Here is a 21,824-nt window from a genome sequence, read left to right on the forward strand (position 1 = left end):
AATGTCACTCATCATTCAAGGGCTAAAATACTTATGAAGACTTCCTGTCTTTTCTAGTCAACAAAATAAGGTATATTTGAAACTGATAATTTATATTTTAAAATTGAATGTCATTATTATATATTTCATACTTTATAATGCTTTCTGTCCTGAGTCTATAAGTTGTACTGAGCAGGGCGTGTTCTTCTTGTGAATTCCCTGTAGTGCCTTGCACAGGTCTCTTTTTGCCTTCAATCATTCTTCCTGTGGCTCTTCTGCCCCCACTAATCATGGGCCACAGATTAAACCTTAACTATCTGCTTTTGTCTCTCTTCTTTCTTTCTTGGAGATTTTACATGTATTTCTTAGAGATAAATTTTTGTTTGTTTGTTTGTTTGTTTTTTAGAGACGGAGTCTCACTCTGTTGCCCAGGCTGGAGTACAGTGGCATGATCTCAGCTCACTGTAACCTCCACCTCCTGAGTTCAAGCAATTCTCCTGCCTCAGCCTCCTGAGTAGCTGAGACTACAGGCACGTGCCACCATGCCCGGCTAATTTTTGTAATTTTAGTAGAGACGGGGTTTCACCATGTTGGTCAGGCTGGTCTCGAACTCCTGACCTCAGGCGATCCATCTGCCTTGGCCTCCCAAAGTGGTGGGATTACAGATGTGAGCCACCATGCCCAGCCCAGAGATAAAAATTGTTATATCTGTGACTTTCTAAATTTTCATTTCATCCCTAAACTTTCTCTTGAGCTCCAGTGTCACATCTAAAATTTTCTGGTAGTCATTTTCAAATGACTCCAAGCCTCACACTGACTCCAAGCTTCATTTTCACTAGAATGTCTCACACTGACTCCGCGCTTAATCTTATATCAAAGCTTATTACCAACTTATTATCTTCCTCGCCTTATTATCTCACCTCGCCTTCACATTTTCTTATGGCACCACTTCTCTGTTACCTAGCAAGGAGGTAAAACTTGCAGTCATCTCTGACTACCTTCATCACACATCACACAGCCATTCAACATTATTGTTTCTTTACAGTGTATTTTATACCCCATCCTTTCCAAGTGCACCACTACAGTAACAACAGCAATAACAACAGTATAACAGTTAACGTGCACATGTTTACTCTGGCCAGGTACTGGGCTAAGTGCTTTGTACATGTAACTCATTTCAACTTCACAGTATTCTTTTAAGGCAGGTACTTTTAGTTTTTTCTTTTCATAGAAGAGAAAACTAAGGCTCAGAGTGGCACAGTTAAAATCACACGTAGACGAATTTGGACCTAGATTCTGTACCTAACCACAGTGCTACTCTTCATGCCTAAATTTCCTTTTGTTTTTTTTGAAGGCCATATCAGTTATTTTTATTTGAGTAGCAAAGTTCTGTTTATCATCTTTATTTTTATTTTATTATATATATATATATATTTTTTATTGGGACATGGATGAAGCTGGAAACCATCATTCTCAGCAAACTATCGCAAGGACAAAAAGCCTAAATTTCTATAATTGCTTCCTAACTGGTATGCCTGCCATTGCTTGCTCCTCCACCAATCCGGAATTCCTACACACCATTTCCAGAATAATCATTCCCAAATGGGTTATCATTATTTCTTTTTTTAAAATCTCCAAATCCTTTCGTATCTTCCTTTCATCCACTAAATTAAATCCAGCACAGCCTGAACATCTAAAGGCCTCTACAGACTGAACTTCCCCACTCTATCTCCTGGAAGTACCTGCCTGTTTCCATGAATGGCTTAAAGCATGATGCCCTACTTGGCCACACCAGGATTTCACTTCATGTTTGCTCCCATCATCCCACTCACTTCTGACCATGTCGAAAGTTCCTAGAGGGAAAAGGAAGGGCATGCCTGTTTGCATTCCCAACAGTGCCTTCCACCTGGTGCACACTGAGCGAATATTCGCCAAGTGATTGATATTAGGGGCTCAATTACCACTTTGAGGATTGAGCTGTTTAATTACTCCTTAACACTCTCTTGTTTCTATCCTTCCAACTAGCCCTCTCATTTTCCTCTTTCTTGGCATAACTGCCCCGTAACAAATGTGAAAATCCTCTCTTTTGCAACATCAAACATCCTGCGACAATCTTCTTTACCTACCCATCACTACTTCATCAGCCTTTTCCTAGATGTATAAACAAATATACATTTTATATTCCTGTCAATCTTTCTTCATTGTTTGGTCTTTATCATTAGACTAAAAGCTACTAAAAAAATTTCTGGTGATGACCACTATGTAAAGATGACAACAATCAAAAGGATAACGTTTTCTGTTCGTTCTTGAGGTTAAATATTTTATGTGAGTTACAAACTTTCAGGCCACGTTCAGCATAATGTAGGCCAACAGGGAAAATTCAAGATTTGGAGGAAGAGTGACCTGTGTTCCAACCCTGCCTCCACCACTCACAAGCTGCGCAATGTTAAACATACCAGTTAACTTGTCTGATCCTGTTTCCTCACCTGTTAAATGGGAATAATAATAATACCTATCATATAGAAACTGTAGTGAATGTCATTTAAAACCCCATATTTGTAGCACTCAACACACAGAAGATTATGGTAGACAAGATATGGCCAACCTGTAAATATGTCAACACCCTTATCCCCAGAACCTGTGAATATGATATGTTACATGGTGAAAAAGATTTTTCAGATATAATTGAAGTTGCTAATTAGCAGACCTTAAAATAGGAGATAATCCTGGATTATGTCAGTGGGCCCAATGTAAGCACAAAACAAAGCAGAAGAGGAAGGCAGAACAGTCAACCAGAGAGAGATGCAAAGGGAGAAGAGACAGGAGTTGGCCAGCTGAGTTCCCCCTCATCAAACAGGCCCTTGCTGGCTTTGAAGTCAGAGGAATGGGGCCATGCACTAAGGAATGTGGGTTGTCTCTAGAAGTTAGGAATGATAGCCACCAAAGAAATTAGGACTTCAGTTTTGTAACATCAAGGAAGTGAATTAGGCCAACAATCTGAGTAAGTGAGGAAGTAGATTCTCTGCTAGAGCCTCCAGAAGGGAAGGCAGTCCTGCTGAAACCTTGATTTTAGCACAGTGATCCCTGTGTCAGACTTCAGAACTACAGAACTATAACGATAATAAATTTGTGTTGTTTTAAATTGATAAGGTTGTGAGAATTTGTTATGGCAGCAATAGAAAACTAATATAAAGATAGTCAATAATTGATAACACGTGCTATTGTTTATTTAGGGTGATCACAGAAATCTTAGCAATTAGATATAAATATTGTCTATTATAAGATTATTGATACCTTACTAATCTGATACTATTGAAAATCAGGGGAAGCTGGAGGTCTGGAACATACCAAAGGACTGGGATCCAGAGGTGGTAGTGTCTGTCTCTGTGTCTTTACAATCAGGTTGCCCAGATTGCACATGCCAGTCAATAAGTCTTTATAGAATCAAGTGCCTGGTGATTTCTTGGACTTTATGAGTACTACGTGTATCATATTTTACTGGTGAGAAAATTGAGCAGGTAGGTAGCACCATGGGCTGGGAAGAGGTAGGAGTTGCTCTTTTTTTTTCACCTACAAAATAGTAATAGCTATAGTATATACCTAAGCCATTAAACTGTGCAACATGAGCAAGTTACGAAGTAGAGGTTATTATTTGTGCATTTTAAAGATTTTATCAGGCAGAAACCTAGTTCTGCTCCTAGAATGTCATTTTGGCCTTGAATTATTTTATAATTTGTCCATCAAATGATGCGTCCGTGTGTGTGTATGTATGTGTGTGTTTTCATGCTGCATATATATGCAAACATGCAGAAAATGCCTCACTTTTGACTTTCTAACTTGGTAATATTTTGAGATATGCTTCATAGAACAGGGCCACTTCTGACTTCAGTCTTCTTCCATGGAGTGATTTCACTAGGGACACCTGTAATTCCTTCTGAAAAAATATTTGTTTCTAGTGGCCTCCATCATATTTAAATATATTTTACTGTTGTATATCTTAGCATTCTATCTGTAGAAAACCCAGTAAGATTCACGTCAATTAGAAATAATGCTAGGTGCCCCAATATATCACATCTAGTGGTTGGTTTTCTACCAAACTAAAATTATTAGCCAAATCGTATGAATTATATCTTCTATTTATTGATTGTTCACCATATCCCAGTGCATTATACGGTCTTATTTAATTTTTCATGACAGCCCAGTGCCAGTTGGTACTATTATTAATCCCATTTTATAGATGGGGACTGTGAGGCTTAGAGGCAAAGTGCATGTTTACACAGCTAGTAATTCGTGAGCAGGGCCAGGATTTGAACTCAGGTCTGTGTGAGTTCCCACACCCAAGTCGTCCTGGTAAATAAACAAATCCTATGATCTCACTCCCTTTACATGAACTCTCTTGCCCACACTGAAGGGTTTTACAGTGAATAATAAGATAAGTGGACCTGGAAAAAGTTTATATTTTATTTTTTAATTGATAAGCCACATGAATTGTCCCTACATGCTCAGTAGGTAATTGTTTATTTTCAAATATCTTTCAGATGCTTTTTGGATAAGCTCTAGCCCGGTGCTTCTCAAATTTTAGTATAAAAATGAATCACTGGGGATCTTCATAAAATGCAGATTCTTATTCAGTCGGTCTGGGGAAGGATTTGAGATTCTACATTTATAGATAGCTCCCAGGGGATGGTGGCAATCCTGGTGTGGGGACTACACTTGGAGTAGCAAGGCTCTAGCTCACTACATCCTAGCCTTTTCCCTATCCTTGTGATATTCTCACTCAAATGTGGAGGTTTTTCAGATCATCCTTCTGGGCTGTAGTAAACATGTTTGCATTGCTCTATTTTCTCAGATCCTAAAATAAATTAGGGTGGGATTAATGAAAATTAGGCAATAAGGCTAAAGAATGGGGGAAGGTAAGAATATCCGTCTGCAAACCTTTCCTTCTTCTTGTACTCTGCTCTAAAAACCACCTGCCTTATCTTTTCTATTTTCTTTGTTTTAATTTTTCGGAAAGAGTGTGACTGTATGTGCATGTTTGTGTGTGTGTGCATGTGTGTGTATTTGCACATGCATTTGGGGGGCTGATTCTGAGACTGAGTATACTAAACCAGAGCCATAGTCACTGGATTCTGCTAGCTTCCATTCCCCAAAACTACTATGGTGCAGAACAGACTGGGATTTCTAGATGCCTTGCTGTTGGTGGTGTGAGCCAGATCAGACACATAAATGTGAGCAGCTAAATTTTTGTCATGTTTAATTCTGCCTTCCATCTGAATACGCTAGCTATAGACACATATAATGTTTTCTTAGCTAGCAAGATAGGATTGTGTGTGTGAGTGTGTGTGTGTTAGGGGGAGGTGGTGGTCAAGAAGGTAAGTCACAAAGATATGACAGCAGCATATAATATAAACACGTATACATACATATGGAATGGAAGTAGAGGGCTGTGATCTTGGTAAACTTGACTTTAGTTACCTCTCGATTTCTTGGGAAGATCTCCACAGAACTTCAGAAAATGTATTTCGTATCAGCAAACAGTACTGGGTTGTGGTTTTGCCACTGTTGTTAGCTAGTAGTCTGTTTTAGGCAGGTCATTTCTACTCTCTAGACTTCAATTTCTCTATAGGTGAAATGAGAGGATTGACCCCTCCAAGATCCCCGCTTGTTTCTTATCGTTATTTTTTCTTTCCTTTTGCTAAGGCAAAAACCTGGGGCAATTGCATTGGCCACCACCATCCAAGGGCCAACTCCAGAATTGGTGACAGAAAACCAAACCTAAGAAACTTGCAAAGTTCCCTTCACCCAGCAAATTGCAATTTTTCTTAGCCCCTATCAGCTTTTATAATTTCTTTAAATCATCTGTGCTCACTCAGTTGAGCATGATGTACATGTTTGTTTATAAGACCACAGTTGAGTCATTCAGGAATCATTCCTTGCTGGCAGTATGGCTCTGCTGGTCTCACTGGACAAAGTTTGAGGGGCCCATCAACAGAAGAAAAGCTTCGTGAGTTTTAGAAAGGATGACACTGTGGATATGTCAGCTACTAGGCTCTGGACATGATGGCTGGCCTTAGCTTATCCCTCATCTGTGGGATGAGGAATAACTTCTGCCTAGAATGAGGCTTTATTTCTGTCTATAGGCTGCAAACTTTGTCATACCTTTCCCTGCAAACCTGGCAAATGACTGGGCCAGATTAGGCCAGTGGCACCTTGTGGCACAGAGTACTTTGGGGAGAGAGATTCTGCGCCTTATATTCTTCATCAGTTAGCAGGAGGCATCTGAACAGCTTAGTATACTAAGGTGAAAACAGGAACCTTTGGCAGAAGTAAAGCAGGCAGAAATGCTTCAATCTACCACCTTCAGTGATGGAGCCATGGCAAAAAATAAATTAGAATATTCGAAAACAGGCTACAGGAAAGCATCATGACACATTTGAAATATCCATTCAATAACTAAGCACCTGAATGGCTTGCAGATTGGAATTTAATATTGTAAGGAGAGAAATGAGACAGCAACACTGAGAATGTACTCCAAGGTTCCCAATTCCCTGGTACTATGGAATTCTATCATTGTTTACACAGTGTTTGCAAGTCAAATACAGGCAATTTTAAGATGCTTCACATATGAGTTGATTTCTGGATTAATTCCATTCCCAGTCAAAGCAAACACCTGGATAGTTTTCTTTCTGTTTGTTTCAAAACATCTTCGGTTCTCTCATATTCCTCTCATCTTCCTCCCTTCTGCATCTCTAATTTCCTGGCCTAGTCTTCTCTAAGTACTGTGGTTCTGCGTGCCATTCCGGTTTTAGTTGTTAGCTATAGAAAGAACAGAATCTTAGGATTATAGCTCTTGTGGCTGGGAAGGATGGCAGATATCTGGTTCAGGTCTCCATGTTGAGATGTACACTGAAGCCAGGTGAATTAGTATCAGTGAAGCCGGGGGCTACATTGGTTCTGAATCCCTGAACCTGCTCACATGCTTATCCCCTGGGTAACCATCAGGACTTACCTCAACAGCCAGATACTCACATCACCAAGAACAGAGCAAAACCTACACTGTAGGCTTCATTCGTGCTGATATTTTGAGTTTTTCCCCAATTATGATGCTGCCAGTTCTTTCCTACCTGTCTGCAACCCGGTCTTTAGTATATCTATTTGAAAGTGTAATTTTAACCTAAGAAAATACTTACTATGGTTGCTTTAAAAAGTAACAGAATGGGCACCTTTTCAGATCCTACTTGAGTAATCCTCATTCTGCTCTCTCTCAGCAGTGAACATTAGAAAGAATTGCCTGATGCAACATAAACAGTTTCACTTAATGCAGAATCCGTTTCTCTTATTTGCTGAGTTGGAAAGAGGCAATTCATTGCATTTTGGTAACATAGTAATAAATAGAAAGTTTAACAGACGAACCTGGGTGCTTTGGAAGCACAAATTCACCTCCTGCTCCCCTCTGTTACAAAAGCAGAGCCAAGATTGTATGGGGTTGATTGAGGTCCTTGAAAAACTACATACACACACACACACACACACACACACACACACACACACACACACAGATTTTCTCTCTCTCCCTATGTATATTGTGAAAGTTTATGAAAACAGCATCTTCCAGGGACCAAAATGTGGATTTTAGGTGACATTCAATTCTTCCTTCGACCTCACAGAGAGAGCTTCAGAGACTCCTTGACCCTGTGGGTTTCTTTTATCCCAGACTATATATTTGCTTTGAAACGAACTTCGTACTATGTAAATATATTAACATGCCTTTTGATTTAGAATAAGCAGATTTTAAAGACATGATGAAAGGTACCATGTGACATCATTTATATCTCAGTTTTTAAAGAGTTTATGGGAAAGGAGACATAATATAAATCATCAATAAAACATCAAAAAACCTATGACACCAACAATAGACAATTATGAATGCTGATATATAAATCTGTCATTCTTGTTAAATGCCATGAAGATAAATATATGGCAATAGAAAAGTGGGTCTGGGTGTGCCATGTCAATGTTGTAATCATTTCACATTTGAAGCCAAGGGTTAACATGCACAATCTCTAAAAAGAGCATTATCAATTAGTCTATGTCTCTCCTACTCTTATAATAAACTCGGGTAAAGTTCAGAGGTTCTATCTTTCAGGCTGGTTTCCCCGCTTCAGGCTTTTCCTGAGGGAGTAATAACCTTGCTAAACACTTAACCATCACCAGGTACATGACTGCGATCCAAAGAGCCCAGGTTGTAATAGGGAAAAAGCCCTTCTAGTCTCATTCTAAGAGACCATGGAGAAAGATCAGCATCTGTGAATTCAGCTCAGTACCTGCATATGTGGGACATGATCATGACCATTTGTCCGAGTCGATGTGTGTCTAGGGAGGGAGGGAGGTGTCCACTTTGAAGCAGAGATCTGACTGATGCCCCTCCATTTGCATTTCTTGGTTCCTTTAAGGAAGACAGGCAAACAAATCTGGCCATTTCTTAAGTTTGAAGGATACAAGACAAAGAAGGTAAATGGGGACCCTGGTTCCTGAACCTTCATGATCCGGCTCCTGGCTCTCTATTTCTGAAGGTGGCTTTTGACGAAGGGCAGGTATCCTTGGTCCGAGGGCCACACTAATCGATTTTAAGGAGGCCTGGGAGCAGGTTCCCCACGGATCTTAAAATCTACCCAAGAATGGAGCAAATCATTGTCCAGGGATAGGACAAAGCTGTGGTTCAGGAAAATATTCCCAGTGAAAGGATGTTTTTGGTCATCGCAGGCAGCACCTTGTCCTATCAACCCTGGAGCTTCTCCCCATTGCATTTCCTCTTCCAAAACAATCTGTTGCTGGCCTCCCTCTGCTCCCTACCACCCTGAGCCCACAGCCAGCCAGTCAATGCTTCTCCGCCTACAGCAGCCCAGCATCTTCATTCAACCCGCACTTCGCTGCCCCTTGCCCCTCAGCAGCACTCAGGCAGTGAAATGGACCGCACCGGCCGCCTGTAGACTTACCCTGAGCCAAGTGGTTTTTTCGGATAAAATCTGTGTCGTCTGGATGTCCACCGGCCAGGATGCGTGGTGCGGCGCCTTGCCGGACTCCTCTTTTGCGGCGCGAAACAGCAGCCGACTGGGACAGCCCGGGGCCTCTAGGCTGATGGGTGGGTGGGCGGATGAGCACAGGGAAAGGGGCGGGGTGTAAAGACGAGCGCAAGTACTGGCTCCTACCTTGGCTTCCCCTTTGGATGCTCAGTTATTGCCAAACTTGCCTGTAACAGATCGGCCCTCCTCACCTTTCACCTTCGCCAGTGCCCTGAAACTCTTTGCTCTACCAATGTCCCTACCCTGTTCTCCCAGCTCTCTAACCCAACCTGAGCCCCTTCAAGCGCACCCACTCCCTTCACGCAGCCAGTCACACACAATAAGAGCTAGGGAAGAAACTGACACGGGGAAACTGACAGGGGTAGCTGACACTGTAGTGTGAAGGAGAGGGAGAAGGAGGGAGGAAGGAAGGGATGGAGAGAGAGGGGAGAGAGAGAGAAAAAAAGAGAGAGAGCCGCATTCACACTCTTACACGCACACTCAAGCTCCAGCTGTTAGGTAGCGGCTGGCGGGAGCGCTGGCTACCCCTCCAAAACCCTTTTCTACACTAGAGGTTTCTGTCCCCTTCTGCTGCCGTTTCTGGAATATGCTATACAGAGAAGGGGAGAGAAAAGCAAAGAGGGGTGGGGAGGGGAAAATCAAGGAGGCACGCTCCCTTTATCCTCCCCACCCCTGTCTCCAAAAATGTCCAACCCTGAGCTCTTCCTTTTCCCTTCTTTCTGCGCCCGGCTTCCCTCTGCTCCTGTTCTTTATTCCTCCCTTTGGGGTGGCTGCGAGCTGCGGACAACCCGTCGTGGTTGTGATGTGGGGTGTGTGTGTGTGTGTGTGTGTGTGAGAGAGAGAGAGAGAGAGAGAGAGAGAGAGAGAGAAAGAGAGAGAGAGAGAGAGAGAGAGATTGAGACAACCGTGGTAGGCAAAAGCACCCCTCACCTCCCCCAGCCCCCGGGCCGAAGCCACTCTCAATCTCCTGGCGGCGGGGCGGGGCGGGGGAGGCGGGGAGGCGAGAGGGAAAGAGGGAGGACGGGGCAGGCGGCAGGGGCAGCAGCTCCTGCCTTCTTTGCAGCTCCGCGGCCAGGGGTGGAAGGAAGCCGCAGCCGCAGCCCCAAGTCAACCCCCGCTGCCCCGTCCCACCGTCTCATCTCTCCCCCCTCGGTACGGAATTTTCTGTCTCGTTTGTTTGCTTCCCCAGACCTCCCCCTCCCCTGGGTGGTGGCAGAGACGGGAGGGGAGGTGGGAGGCTAAGCGCGGGTGCGGGTAGAGGGGACAGGAGTCCCTCGGAGCATATGGCTAGCAGAGTCTCTCTTTGCCCCTTGGCCTGAATATCCCCTGCTTTGGGCAGTGACCTTTGCCCACCCCCGTCAGCCTGGGCTCTGGGCCGGTGGTGGCGAGGCTGCTCCGGCGACCATAGGTCATTCAGGAGGAAGGGGAGTTGAACCTGGGGGAGTAAGGGCGGCGGGCGGCTGGTAGGACAGGGAGACAGCGGAGCGCTGAGTCGCCAGGGACTGACCTGGGGTCCTATGGGGCAGGCTTGGATCCCTGATAGATCTAGATTAATCTAGTTGGAGCTACCTAATTCTCCCATCCGTGCCCCTCTCACCCATAGGGTCGATCTCCCAAGATCCAGCCTAGATTGATACAGGGAGGGAAAGTGATATTGTAGGATGGGGGCGGGGGGCTAGGTTGCTTAGTGGTATCTGTTGTGGAGGGAGAGGGGCGGTGTCACCGGACACTTGGGCCACTCTTTGATCTTTACGCCTTCCTTTCACATGAAGCACCTCTCCACTTCTTTCACCTTATAGCCTGGCGCTCAGAATGTCCACCCTCTTGAGCCCAACTGGAAGGGGCTAAATAGCCCCACCCCCACCACAAGCCTGAGACTTCTACCTGCAACCTGCAGGCGCATAGGTCCACTAGCTGGCAGCATTTCATGGCCTGGCCGCACAGCCCCAAATATTGGCTTTGTCTTTTATCTCCCTTCCTAGCGCTCTCAGGAAAGGGGCATGTGAGTCTCTGCCTTTCTGGACGCCGGGCTGGTACCTGAAAACCTTTCCCTACCCATTCTCAGAACAATCCCTAGCTCTGAGAAAACTCCACTGTACTTCCTGTTGCTCTTTAACCCCCTCTGCACGCCCTGGGAGCCTAAGTGTAAGCTCCCGAAAATGCCAGAATCATCTCCCTTGCCTAAATGGCCGAGTGTTTTCATTGCGGAGCCTGTGAAGCTGGTAGTAGCTATGTTTAGTGGAAGCCCTAAGCACTCTCCTCCTAGCCTACCTTGGAAAAGTCGCTCGGGGCACCAAGCAAGACAAATTTTCCCCTTGTCGTTAGTCCTCCTAGTCCCGAGGCAGTCCAATATTCTGGAGAGTATTTAGCTTTTGTATGGGAGCAAGGTATTGGAGAAAAGAAAATTATTACCCTGGGGGATGAAGAGTTTGTGTCTGGGGGGAAGGGAGTTGGGGAGGAAGAAGTGAGGGTGGAGCTTCCACCTCTTAACAACTTAAATACTTCAGGAAGTGTTTCTAAAGATTGGCCAAGAGGGTCGCTGAAAAAAAAAAATCACTTGATTCTTTGCCTTTCATTCAAAGGCAGTTTTACTGTGAACCAGCAAACTAATATACAGTCTCCCAAACAAGGGAGGTCTATGTTGTGATTAAGCCGTCTTCCCTTTGGCATGAGGGTGAGTAGAATATGTGACCGTGGATAAAACTTTGGGGGCATTTCCCTTTTTTTAGCCAAACTGCAGTCCAGCTGAGACTTCCACTCCAAGCCCAGATGCAACCAGAAGCAGTGCTCAGGGAGAGCAAAAGCCTTATTCTTGTGAGCTGTTTCCTTCAAAGGCCCTATATCCAATGCACTTGTCTTTAACATATGAGGACTGTGTGTGCTTCTGAAATTTGGAGCTTTCCCAGTGGACTGTGGATAAGGTTAAAATTTCTTTCTCTGCTCCTGCCCTATCCTGTTTCTGCCCTATCCTTCTAACCTCTTCAGATCAAGGATATATAAAGAAAAATCCTTTCAAAAGTTAAAAGCACCATACAAATGCCAGGCATTACTATACGAATTCCAAAACAAACTTAGCAGAGTATCTCCTAGTGCAATTAGAAAGCTGACTTAGGCAGGGACCCAAGCTTTGTCTAGGTTGCTTGTCAGCCTTGGGGCTGGGTGGCTCATCTTCTCTGTCAATAGGGACATATTCTGGTTTTCCACTTGGTGGCTGAGTGTGTATGTCTCCCAGGGTAGTTTGCACCTAGAGGCTACATCTGCAAAAGTGGCTCAAAGCCAAAAATGGAAGCCACTATCTGACTAATTTAAGCCCAGAACTACCTAGCTTCTAGACTAGGTTTACTTACATGGCCTGGCCTATTCAAATACCATGACAGGTATGACTGTTAAAATGTAATTGAGACATACTCTTTTCTCCTCTCTTCTTACAGCCTTGACCATAGTGGTAAATGGTATATGTAGACCAGAGTTTAATGTAACATCGTAGGTGAAGAGAAACTGTTATGAGGAATCCAGAGAGTGGGGTTTTCCCAGTCATTAAGCAGGGTTTCTCAACCTCGATGCTATTGATATTTTAGGCCAGATGATTCCTTTTGTTGGGGGGCTGCCCTGTGCATTGTAGAATGTTTAGCAGCATCCTTGGCCTCTGTCTGTTAGATTCCAGTAGGAACCCACACCCCATTTGTGACAACCAAAAATGCGTCCAGGCATGGCCAAATGTCCACTGGGGAGCAAAATTATCCCCTCACCATATAGAATGAGTGCCATTTAAGGTAATGTCACATTTCAAAGACCATATTTTAACCTTAATTCTACCCACATGGCATGTCCAGACTTTGCATTGAACAGAGTCTCAGAAAATAATGAATATTTTGTGAGGAAACGACATAAAAAGGAACCCTCACAAATTAGCTAAGTTTTGACAAATGGTGGAATTCATTGTTATCAACAATGCCATCTTCTGGTTACCATCAAATTCTTGTCAAGCACACACTATGAGTAGGGTATTGATTATAGCAAAGATCTGTAAGACATAATCCCAGCCTTCAGTATGCTAAGAAACTATTGACCTTTCTTTCCCCAAGGGGAAAGGGTTACTGATTTTCATAGATAACCAATTTCTGGATTGAATCCAACCTGGCTTTTTCCCTCTTCTATTTCCTATTTGTCCCCAAACAGTGGCTTATTGTTTGAGGTTCTGCCTTATAGAGATTGCATTTTGTTTTGCTAATTAGCATAGTCCTACAACAATTTTTTGTGACTTCTCAGCGTGTGGCATTTGTGTCATAACACTGTATCCAGCATAAAAATGACTACAACATCACAAAGGCTGTAACAAATTGAGCAATTTGAAAGCAGGTTTTTGTTTTCAAGGAAAGTTTCTAACTACTTGCATGCTAGAGAAATACTCAACAATGGCAAAAGCAAAAGAAATGGAATGTAAAAAGAGGTGATTCTTAAAATACTGTGGAGTGTTGAAAAAATATCTCAGTGTGATTATGGGTTTTAACACTCAGCACTATCTCTACCTCAGGAAGTCAAACAACACTAATGCAAGTTGTAGGATCTTGATCAGGAATTCAGCAAAGGAAAATGCAGGAGAAAGCATGGAATATCTGTTCAAATCAGTTGAGTAAGCTCCTGCCTTAGAAAATAAGTTTCCGGTGAGCCAGGCAGGACTGCATCAGTGTTACTTGCTTTGGATAATTCTTAGCCCAATACCACGTATATATATAGCAACATGTCACTTATAAAGACTAATGCAGGAACCAACAATTAGCACATTCAAACTTTACACATTCATACATTATGATGCTATTGCCAAGACTAATTATTTATTTAAATAAAAGTTTTGCCTGAATTGGGACGACGAATGACTGTAATTGAAAAATATGTTTCATTTTTCAAGAGAACATTTAAACTGTTATATCAGAATGGGATCCCTGTAATCAAGGGATAAAGCCTTACATTAATTAATGATTAATCTTAATAAAAGATGTGTAAACAGAGCTTCACTTCATGGATTAGCTAAGGACTTTGCTGTCCTCACCATTAATAGCAATGCAAATGGGGCCAGCTCTGAGCAAATTTGTAAAGTGTAATTGCAGAATCATAGGACATTGCAGAATATTGGACCATTGAGAAGCACCTTGCCTGAGGTTAGAGGATAGTGACAGAGAAGGCTCCAATTGTGTCTTGCTGGTCTGTGACTGACTCTGTGGGACCTCAGGAAGAGTAGGTTTAGTCTTTACTTTGCCTGCCCCCTCCCCAGCTTATTAAAAACTATCCCTCATGGAATGATATAATCTGTCCTAATCACTATACTAATGTGTTCCCTCTCCCAGGAGTAGATTGGTCTTCAGCTTTTTTTTTTTTTTTTTTCCAATTGTGGGGAAAAGGGCTCTATCTCTTTAATGAAAAGAGTTCAAGCATGAGGGAACATGTATGTCCTTGGGATGAGGACTTCCTGAAGCTCCTAAAAATCACCCCAACTGCAGATCATGTTTTATAAAATCTATGGAGGCTGGGAGTAGGGCCAAGAAATTTCAGCATTTCTCTCCGGAAAGTTTGTCATTGTGAAGGAGTAGTTGGTGAGCCATGCTTTATTCTTGATCAAAGACACAAGTCCTTATGGACAGAGTAATGAGAGGCGAGCTATGGGAGGTTCCTACAGAGTAGGTGGTGGTAAAGGGTGTAGGCTTTGGAGTCAGACCTGGGTTTGAATTCCAGATTCATGTTTCTTAGCTATGGAAATTAGGTTACATGGACTTTGGTTTGCTTATCTGTAAGCTGGGGACAATGACTCACAGTGTCGTTTAGTGGATTTAATTGGATAATGCATAAGCCTAGCACAGAGCCTAATATATAGCAGTAGCTCACTAACTGCTAATTTCCTTTCTTCTCCCTTTCTGCCTTTTTGTATTGAAGTGACTCATAACATAAAATTAATCATCTTAAACTATACAATTTAGTGACATTCAGTATATTCACAATGTTGTGCAACCTTCACCTCTATCTAGTTCCAAAACATTTTCTTTTTTTTTTTTGCCTTTTTTTTCCTTTTTGTGGAGAACAGGGCCTCGCTATATTGTCCAGGCACGTCTCAAACTCCTGGGCTCAAGCTATCCTCCCACCTCTGCCTCCCTAAGAACTGGGATTATAGGCATGAGACACCGCGCCTGGCTCCAAAACATTTTCATCATACCAAAAGAAGATCCTGTATCCCTGAATCAATCACTCCCCCATTTCCGCCCCCCTCCAGCTGTTGACAACTAATTTGCTTTGTGTTTCTATGGATTCAGCTATTCTGGATATCTCATAAAAAAATGGAGTCATACAATGTCTACCCTTTTGGGTCTGGCTTCTTTTTTACTTAATATAATGTTTTGAAGGTCCATCTGTGTTGTAGCATATAATCAGTACTTAATTTCTTTTTGCAACCTACTGATGTTCCATTGTATAGATATAATATATTTCACTTAGTTCATTCATCAGATGTTGGACATTTCGCTTGTTTCCACCTTTTCTATTATGAATAATGCTGCTACAAACATTAGTGTACAAGTATTCGTTTTAATACATGTTCTCAAATCTTTTGGAGACCTACCTAAGAGAGGAATTGCTGGATTATGTGGTAATTCTATATTTAACTATTTGAGGAACCACCAAATTGTTTTCCATAGTGGTTGTACCATTTTACATTTCTATCAATAATGTACAAGGGTTCCAGTTTCTCCACATCCTCACCAACACTGGTTATTTTCCATTTTGTTGATTACAGCCATCCTAGCATGTGTGAAGTGGTATCTCATTGCGGATTTGGTTTGCATTTCCTCAGTGACAAAAGTGATGATGAACATCTTTTCACATGCTTATGCACCTATCATATATCTTTTTTGGAGAAATGTCTGTTCAAGTCCTTTGCCCACTTTTGAAACTGGGTTGACTGTCCTTTTGTTGTTGAGTTATAAATGTTCTTTAAATGTTCCATAAACTAGTCCCTTATCCAATATATCTAAATATTGCAAATATTTTATCTCATTCTCTAGGTTGTCTTTTTATTTTTATGATAGTGTCCTCTGATGTACAAAAGTATTAAAGCTTATTGAAGCCCAATTTATCTGTTTTTCTTTTTTTTATTTTTCTTTTTTTATTATTATTATACTTTAAGTTTTAAGGTACATGTGCACAATGTGCAGGTTAGTTACATATGTATACATGTGCCATGCTGCGGTGCTGCACCCATTAACTCGTAATTTAGCATTAGGTATATCTCCTAATGCTATCCCTCCCCCCTGGAATCTGTTTTTCTTTTGTTACTTATGCTTTCAGTGTTATATTTAAGAAACCATAGCACAATCTAAGGTCATAAAGATTTACTCTTGTGTTTTCTTTTAAGTTTTATGGTTTTAGCTCTTATATTTAGGTCTTTAAACCACTTCGAGTTAATTTTTGTTTATGGTGTGAGATGGGGTCTAACTTCATTCTTTGGTGTGTGAATATCTAGTTGTCCCAGTATCACTTGTTGAAGAGACCATTCTTTCCTGATCGAATGATACTGGCACCTTGTAAAAAATCAATTGGCCATAGACATATGGGCTTATTTTTGAACCTTCAATTCTATTCTACTGTTCTATAGATCCACCTTTATGCCATACCACACCGTTTTTATTACTATTATCTTTGAATTAAGTTTTGAAAATGGGAAGTGTGAGTCCTCCAACATTGGTCTTCTTTTTCAAGACTGTTAAGATTGTTTTGGCTGTTCAGGGTTCCTTAAATCCAAATGCAGATCAGCATTTCCATTTCTTCAAAAAAATCCTTTAGGCTTTCAATAGTGAGTACATTGAATCTGTTGATAGTTTTGGGAAATATTTCCATCTCAACAATGTTGTATTCTAATCCATGACACAATGATGTCTTTCCATTTATTTAGTTCTTCCTTAATTACTTTCAGCAGTGTTTTGTAGTTTTCAGTGTGGAAGTCTTGCACCTTCTTGATTAAATTTATTCCCAAATATCTTATTCTTTTTGATACTATTGATTACTAAATTGTTTTCTGAAATTCATTTTTTGATTTTCCATTACTAGTTTACAGAAACAAATGATCGTGTACTCTGCAACTTTGCCAAATTTTTTCATTAGTTCTAATAGTTGTTTTATGGATTCTTTAGGATTTCTTATATATAAGACCATATATATATATAAGATCTTATATATAAGATCTGTGAATAGAGGTAGTTTTACTTCTTCCTAATTTAGATGCCATTTATTATTTCTTGTCTAATTGCTCTTGATAGAACTTCCAGTACCATGTTAAATAGGAGGAAAAATGTGGATAACCTTGTCTTGTTCCTGATCTTAGGGGAAAAGATTTAAATTTTTCACTACTGACTATGATGTTAACTGTGGGTTTTTAATAAACATCCTTTATCAGGTTGAAGGAGTTGCTTTCGGTTCATACTTTGTTGAGTGGTTTAATCATAAAAGGGTGTTGAGTTTTGTCAGATCTTTTTTTTCCTCATTGAGATGTTCATATGGTTTTTTCCTTCATTCTATTAATTTGTATATCACATTGATATTAATAGATTTTTAAAGATGTTTAATCAACCATACATTCCTGGGATTAATCCCACTTAGTCATGGTGTATAATCTTTTTAATGTGTGACTAGATTTGGTTTACTAGTATTTTTTTGGGGATTTTTGTACCTGTATAAATAAGTAATATTGGTCTGTAGTTTTGTTTCTTGTGCTATCTTGGTCTGGCTTTGGTATCAGAGTAATGGTGGCCTTGTAGGAGGAGTTAGGAAGTATCCTCTCCTATTAAAATTTTTTTAGAAGATTTAGACAAGAATTGCTGTTAATTATTCTTTAAATATCTGATAGAATTCACCAATGAAGTTATTTGGTTCTGGGCTTCTTAAGGGGGCAAGGGGTGGACTGATCAGTCATTCAATCACCTTACTTGTTATAGATATTTTCAGAATTTCTATTTCTTCTTGTGTCAATTTTAATAGTTTGTGTGTTTTTAGTAATTTTTCCATTTCATCAAGGTTATCTAATTTCTTGTTGTATAATTGTTCATTGTTTTCTCTTATGATTATTTTTATTTCTTTAATATTGGCAGTAATGTCCCCACTTTCATTTCTGATTTTATAATTTGAATCTTTCCTTCTTTTTCTGTCAGTCTAGCTAAATGTTCTTAATATTGTTAATCTTTTCAAAGAATTAACTTTTACTTTTGTTAATATTCTGTAATGTTTTTCTAATATCTGTTTTATTTATCTCTTGTCTCATAATTACTACTTTCTACCTACAGCTAGCTGTGGGTTTAATTTGTTCTATTACTAGTTCCTTAAATGTAAGTTAGGTTATTAATTTAGGTGTTCTTTTTAATGTATGCATGTATAATATAAATATCAGTTGGAATATTGCTTTCACTGTATCACATAAGTTTGGTAGATTGAATTTTCATCTTCATTCTTCTCAAAGTGTTTTTAAATTTTTCTTGTGATTTCTTCTTTGATACGTTTGTCGTTTAAGGGTTTGTTGTTTAATGTCCACATATTTGTGAAATTTTGTTTTTCTTCTGTTATTGATTTCTGTTTCTAGCTTTACTTCATCATGGTCAGATAGGATACTTTGTATTATTTCAGTCTTTGTAAATTGAGGACTTGTTTTGTGACCTAACATACAGTCTATTCTGGAGCATGTTCCACGTGCACTTAAAAATAATGTTTATTCTGCTGTTTTGGGGTGACATGTTCTATCTGTTACATCTAGTTGGCTTATAGCTTTCTCCGAGTCTTCTATTTTCTTAATGATTTTCTGTCTTCATCTATCTATTATTGAAAGTGGGGTATCGAAGTATCCAACTTTTATTGTAGAACTGCATATTTCTCCCTTTAATCCTTGCTTTGTATATTTGGGTTTTCTGTTGTTTGGTGCCTGTATGTTTATAATTGCTGTTTTCTTGATTAATTGACCCTTTTACCAATATATAACATCTTTCTTTGTCTCTTGTAATAATTTTTGACTTACAGTTAATTTTGTAAGATATTATTATAGGTATCCTAAGCCTTTTTTGTTAGCTATTTGCATGCAATATCTTTTTTGTCCTTTCACTTTCGTTTCTTTGGATCTAAAGTCTACTCCTTTTAGATAGCGTATAGTTGAATCTTGCTTTTAAAGTCTGTTCTGCCTATCTCTGCCTTTTAATTGGACAGTTTAATCAATTTATGTTTAAAGTAATTACTGTAAGAAATAACTTACTTCTGCCATGTTGCTGTCTTTGTCTATATGTAAAATATTTTTTGTTCTTCAATTTCTCATTTGCTTGCTTTTGGGTTTGATTGATTTTCTCTTCTGCTTTGGGATTCTGCTTTGTAAAGGACCAATATGGGAAAGCTGTAAATCTATTCTTGCTCATATATTCATGCAATAACTATGAAATAGAAAACCCTCACTTCTATATGTACTTCCTCATTTTTTCTCAGAGACATGCAAATCTGCCTCTCACTCCCATATCTATTCACTTAAATGTTAAACCATCAGTTCAAACTCACTGGTTCTTGAAATTGATTGCATCTCATCAGTGGTTCTGAAATTGATTACATCTCATCAGATGATATGATTTGGTTTTGTGTCCCTACCCAGATCTCATCTTGTAGCTCCCATAAGTCCCACGTGTTGTGGGAGGGACCTGGTGGGAGATGATTCAGTCATGGGGGTGGGTTTTTCCTGTATTGTTCTCATGATAGTGAATGGGTCTCATGAGATCTGATGGTTTTAAGAATGGGAGTTTCTCTGCACAAGCTCTCTCTTTGCCTACTGCCATCCACATAAGATGTGACTTGCTCTTCCTTACATTCTGCCATGATTGTGAGGCCTCCCCAGCCAGGTGGAACTGTAAGTCCAATTAAACCTCTAAATTGCCCAGTCTCAGGTATGTCTTTATCAGCAGCGTGAAAATGGACTAATACACCAGAAAATTCATTTCACTTTAGTAAGTGAAATATAACTAGGAGTTCTATTATCCCAGTCCTCAAGGCTTAAGGTTATCTTGGCCTCCTCCCTCTCCCTTAGTCAGTCCCCCACTCCCATACAGCCACTAAGTGCAATTGCCAGTTCCTCTCTGTCACTTGGATTAAATTTATTCTATTCATTTCCACTACTACTCCTATATTCATTGCTCCACACCTGGATAATTGCAGAAGACTTCTGAATCATTTCTTTGCCTTGGGTTTTGGCACCTCCAATATATCCTGCTTGAGTAATCTTCTGAAAGTATCCTTTTAAATCAAGACACTTCCCTACTTAAGAACTCATAATAACTATTAATACATGGCCTATCAGTTCAAGTGATGGAACCTCCCAGCCCTCTCTAATCAGGTTCAAGTTTATGTAACCTTCTCCCCAACCACTGTTAAGGTATGTTGAACTTCTCATGTCATGTAAGAGTCCATCACTGACCAGCCAACATTCATTGTTTATGCTAATTAGAGTATCCCTCTTCCTTTGCCTCTTTAATCATCTTTCAAGAGAGTTTTCTTCCTTCCCCAAATATTTGTTGGATACCTCTTGTGTGCCAAGGCATATGCTAGATACTGTGGATATAGCTGTTATTGGTACCTGCTATCATAGACCTTATAATCTGTTGCAGAAGATAAACAATAAATTAGTAATTTAAATACTGTATGATAGTTGTTAAAATAGAGGAAGGATTTGATGACAGGATTTAGTCCAGAGACCTGGAAAAACTTTCCTACCAAAGTTATTATAAAGTGAAACATAAATAATGAGTAAAAGTTAGCCAGGTAGAGAGGATTTGGGATGATATTCCAGACAAAGGTAATAGCGTATGTGAGAACACCTAGGCAAAAGCACAATCTGTTCTAGGAAGTGAAATAAAAGAAATGCAGCTGCCACATAGATTCTACAGAGAAAGATTAACAGCAATAATAGTCAGGGGCTGTTATGCAATTATGTGTGGTCATGTGAGGGCTTGTTGCCATGCTAAGTTCATCCTAAGAACAATGAGAAGCCATTGAAGAAGGAGACTTATATGACTAGGAATTCATGTTAGAAGGATCACTCTAGCTATGAAGAATGGATTGGTGGGGAAGAAGAGTAGAAGCAGAGAGACTAGTTAGGAGTGTATTGAAATAATATCAGAAATAAGTAATGGTGACTTAGAATAAGCCAGTCACCACTGGGATGTAGAAAAGATGACAAGCTCATGAGATAATTAAGAAATACAATCAACAAAACTTAGTGATGGATCGAATATGGTGGGTAAGCCAGGGGGATGTGTCAAACATGGCTTCCAAGTTTCTGGCTTGAACAAGTAGGTAAATAGTGATACCATTTCACTGAAATGGGGAAACTGAAGGATATGTGTATCTTAGGGGGAGAATATGAGTTCAGTTTAGGATGTGGAGAGTATAAGATGTGAGACATCCAAGGGGAGATGTTAGAGAGTTGGTCGTATAAGTCTGGAATGCAGAAGAGGGGTCAAGGTCAGTGACAAGATTTGGAAGTTGTCACCATATAGATAGTAAAGCCATGTGATTGAATTATATCACCTAGGGAGAGAGAATAAATAGAAGAGAGAGGAGGACTGAGCTGTGGAGTTGTTCAGTGTTTAAAGATCAGGTAGTGAAATAAAGGCCATCAAAGGAGACTGAAAATACCAGGGAGAAAGGAGAAAACTCAGAATAGTTTGATATTCACACAACATTTGAATATGGTGACCAAGGGAA

At 40.3% G+C, this 21,824-nt stretch overlaps 2 protein-coding genes across 5 annotated transcripts in view; one reads left to right on the plus strand and one right to left on the minus strand.

Moving 5' to 3' along the window:
* TRPC5 (transient receptor potential cation channel subfamily C member 5) overlaps positions 1-9,873 on the minus strand; it is a 314,766-nt gene extending 304,893 nt beyond the window's left edge. For all 3 annotated transcript variants that reach the window (NM_012471.3, XM_017029774.2, XM_047442413.1), the window contains exon 1: positions 8,976-9,873. The gene's annotated coding sequence lies outside the window, so the exon portion shown is untranslated. The remainder of the gene's footprint in view (positions 1-8,975) is intronic.
* RTL4 (retrotransposon Gag like 4) overlaps positions 10,110-21,824 on the plus strand; it is a 374,502-nt gene continuing 362,787 nt past the window's right edge. Inside the window, exon 1 of one of the 2 annotated variants that reach the window (NM_001004308.3) lies at positions 10,110-10,214. The gene's annotated coding sequence lies outside the window, so the exon portion shown is untranslated. The remainder of the gene's footprint in view (positions 10,215-21,824) is intronic. The other variant, NM_001395362.2, reaches the window with a different exon arrangement.

This window comes from Homo sapiens, chromosome X, assembly GCF_000001405.40.
Source record: "Homo sapiens chromosome X, GRCh38.p14 Primary Assembly".
NCBI classification, from domain to species: domain Eukaryota; kingdom Metazoa; phylum Chordata; class Mammalia; order Primates; family Hominidae; genus Homo; species Homo sapiens.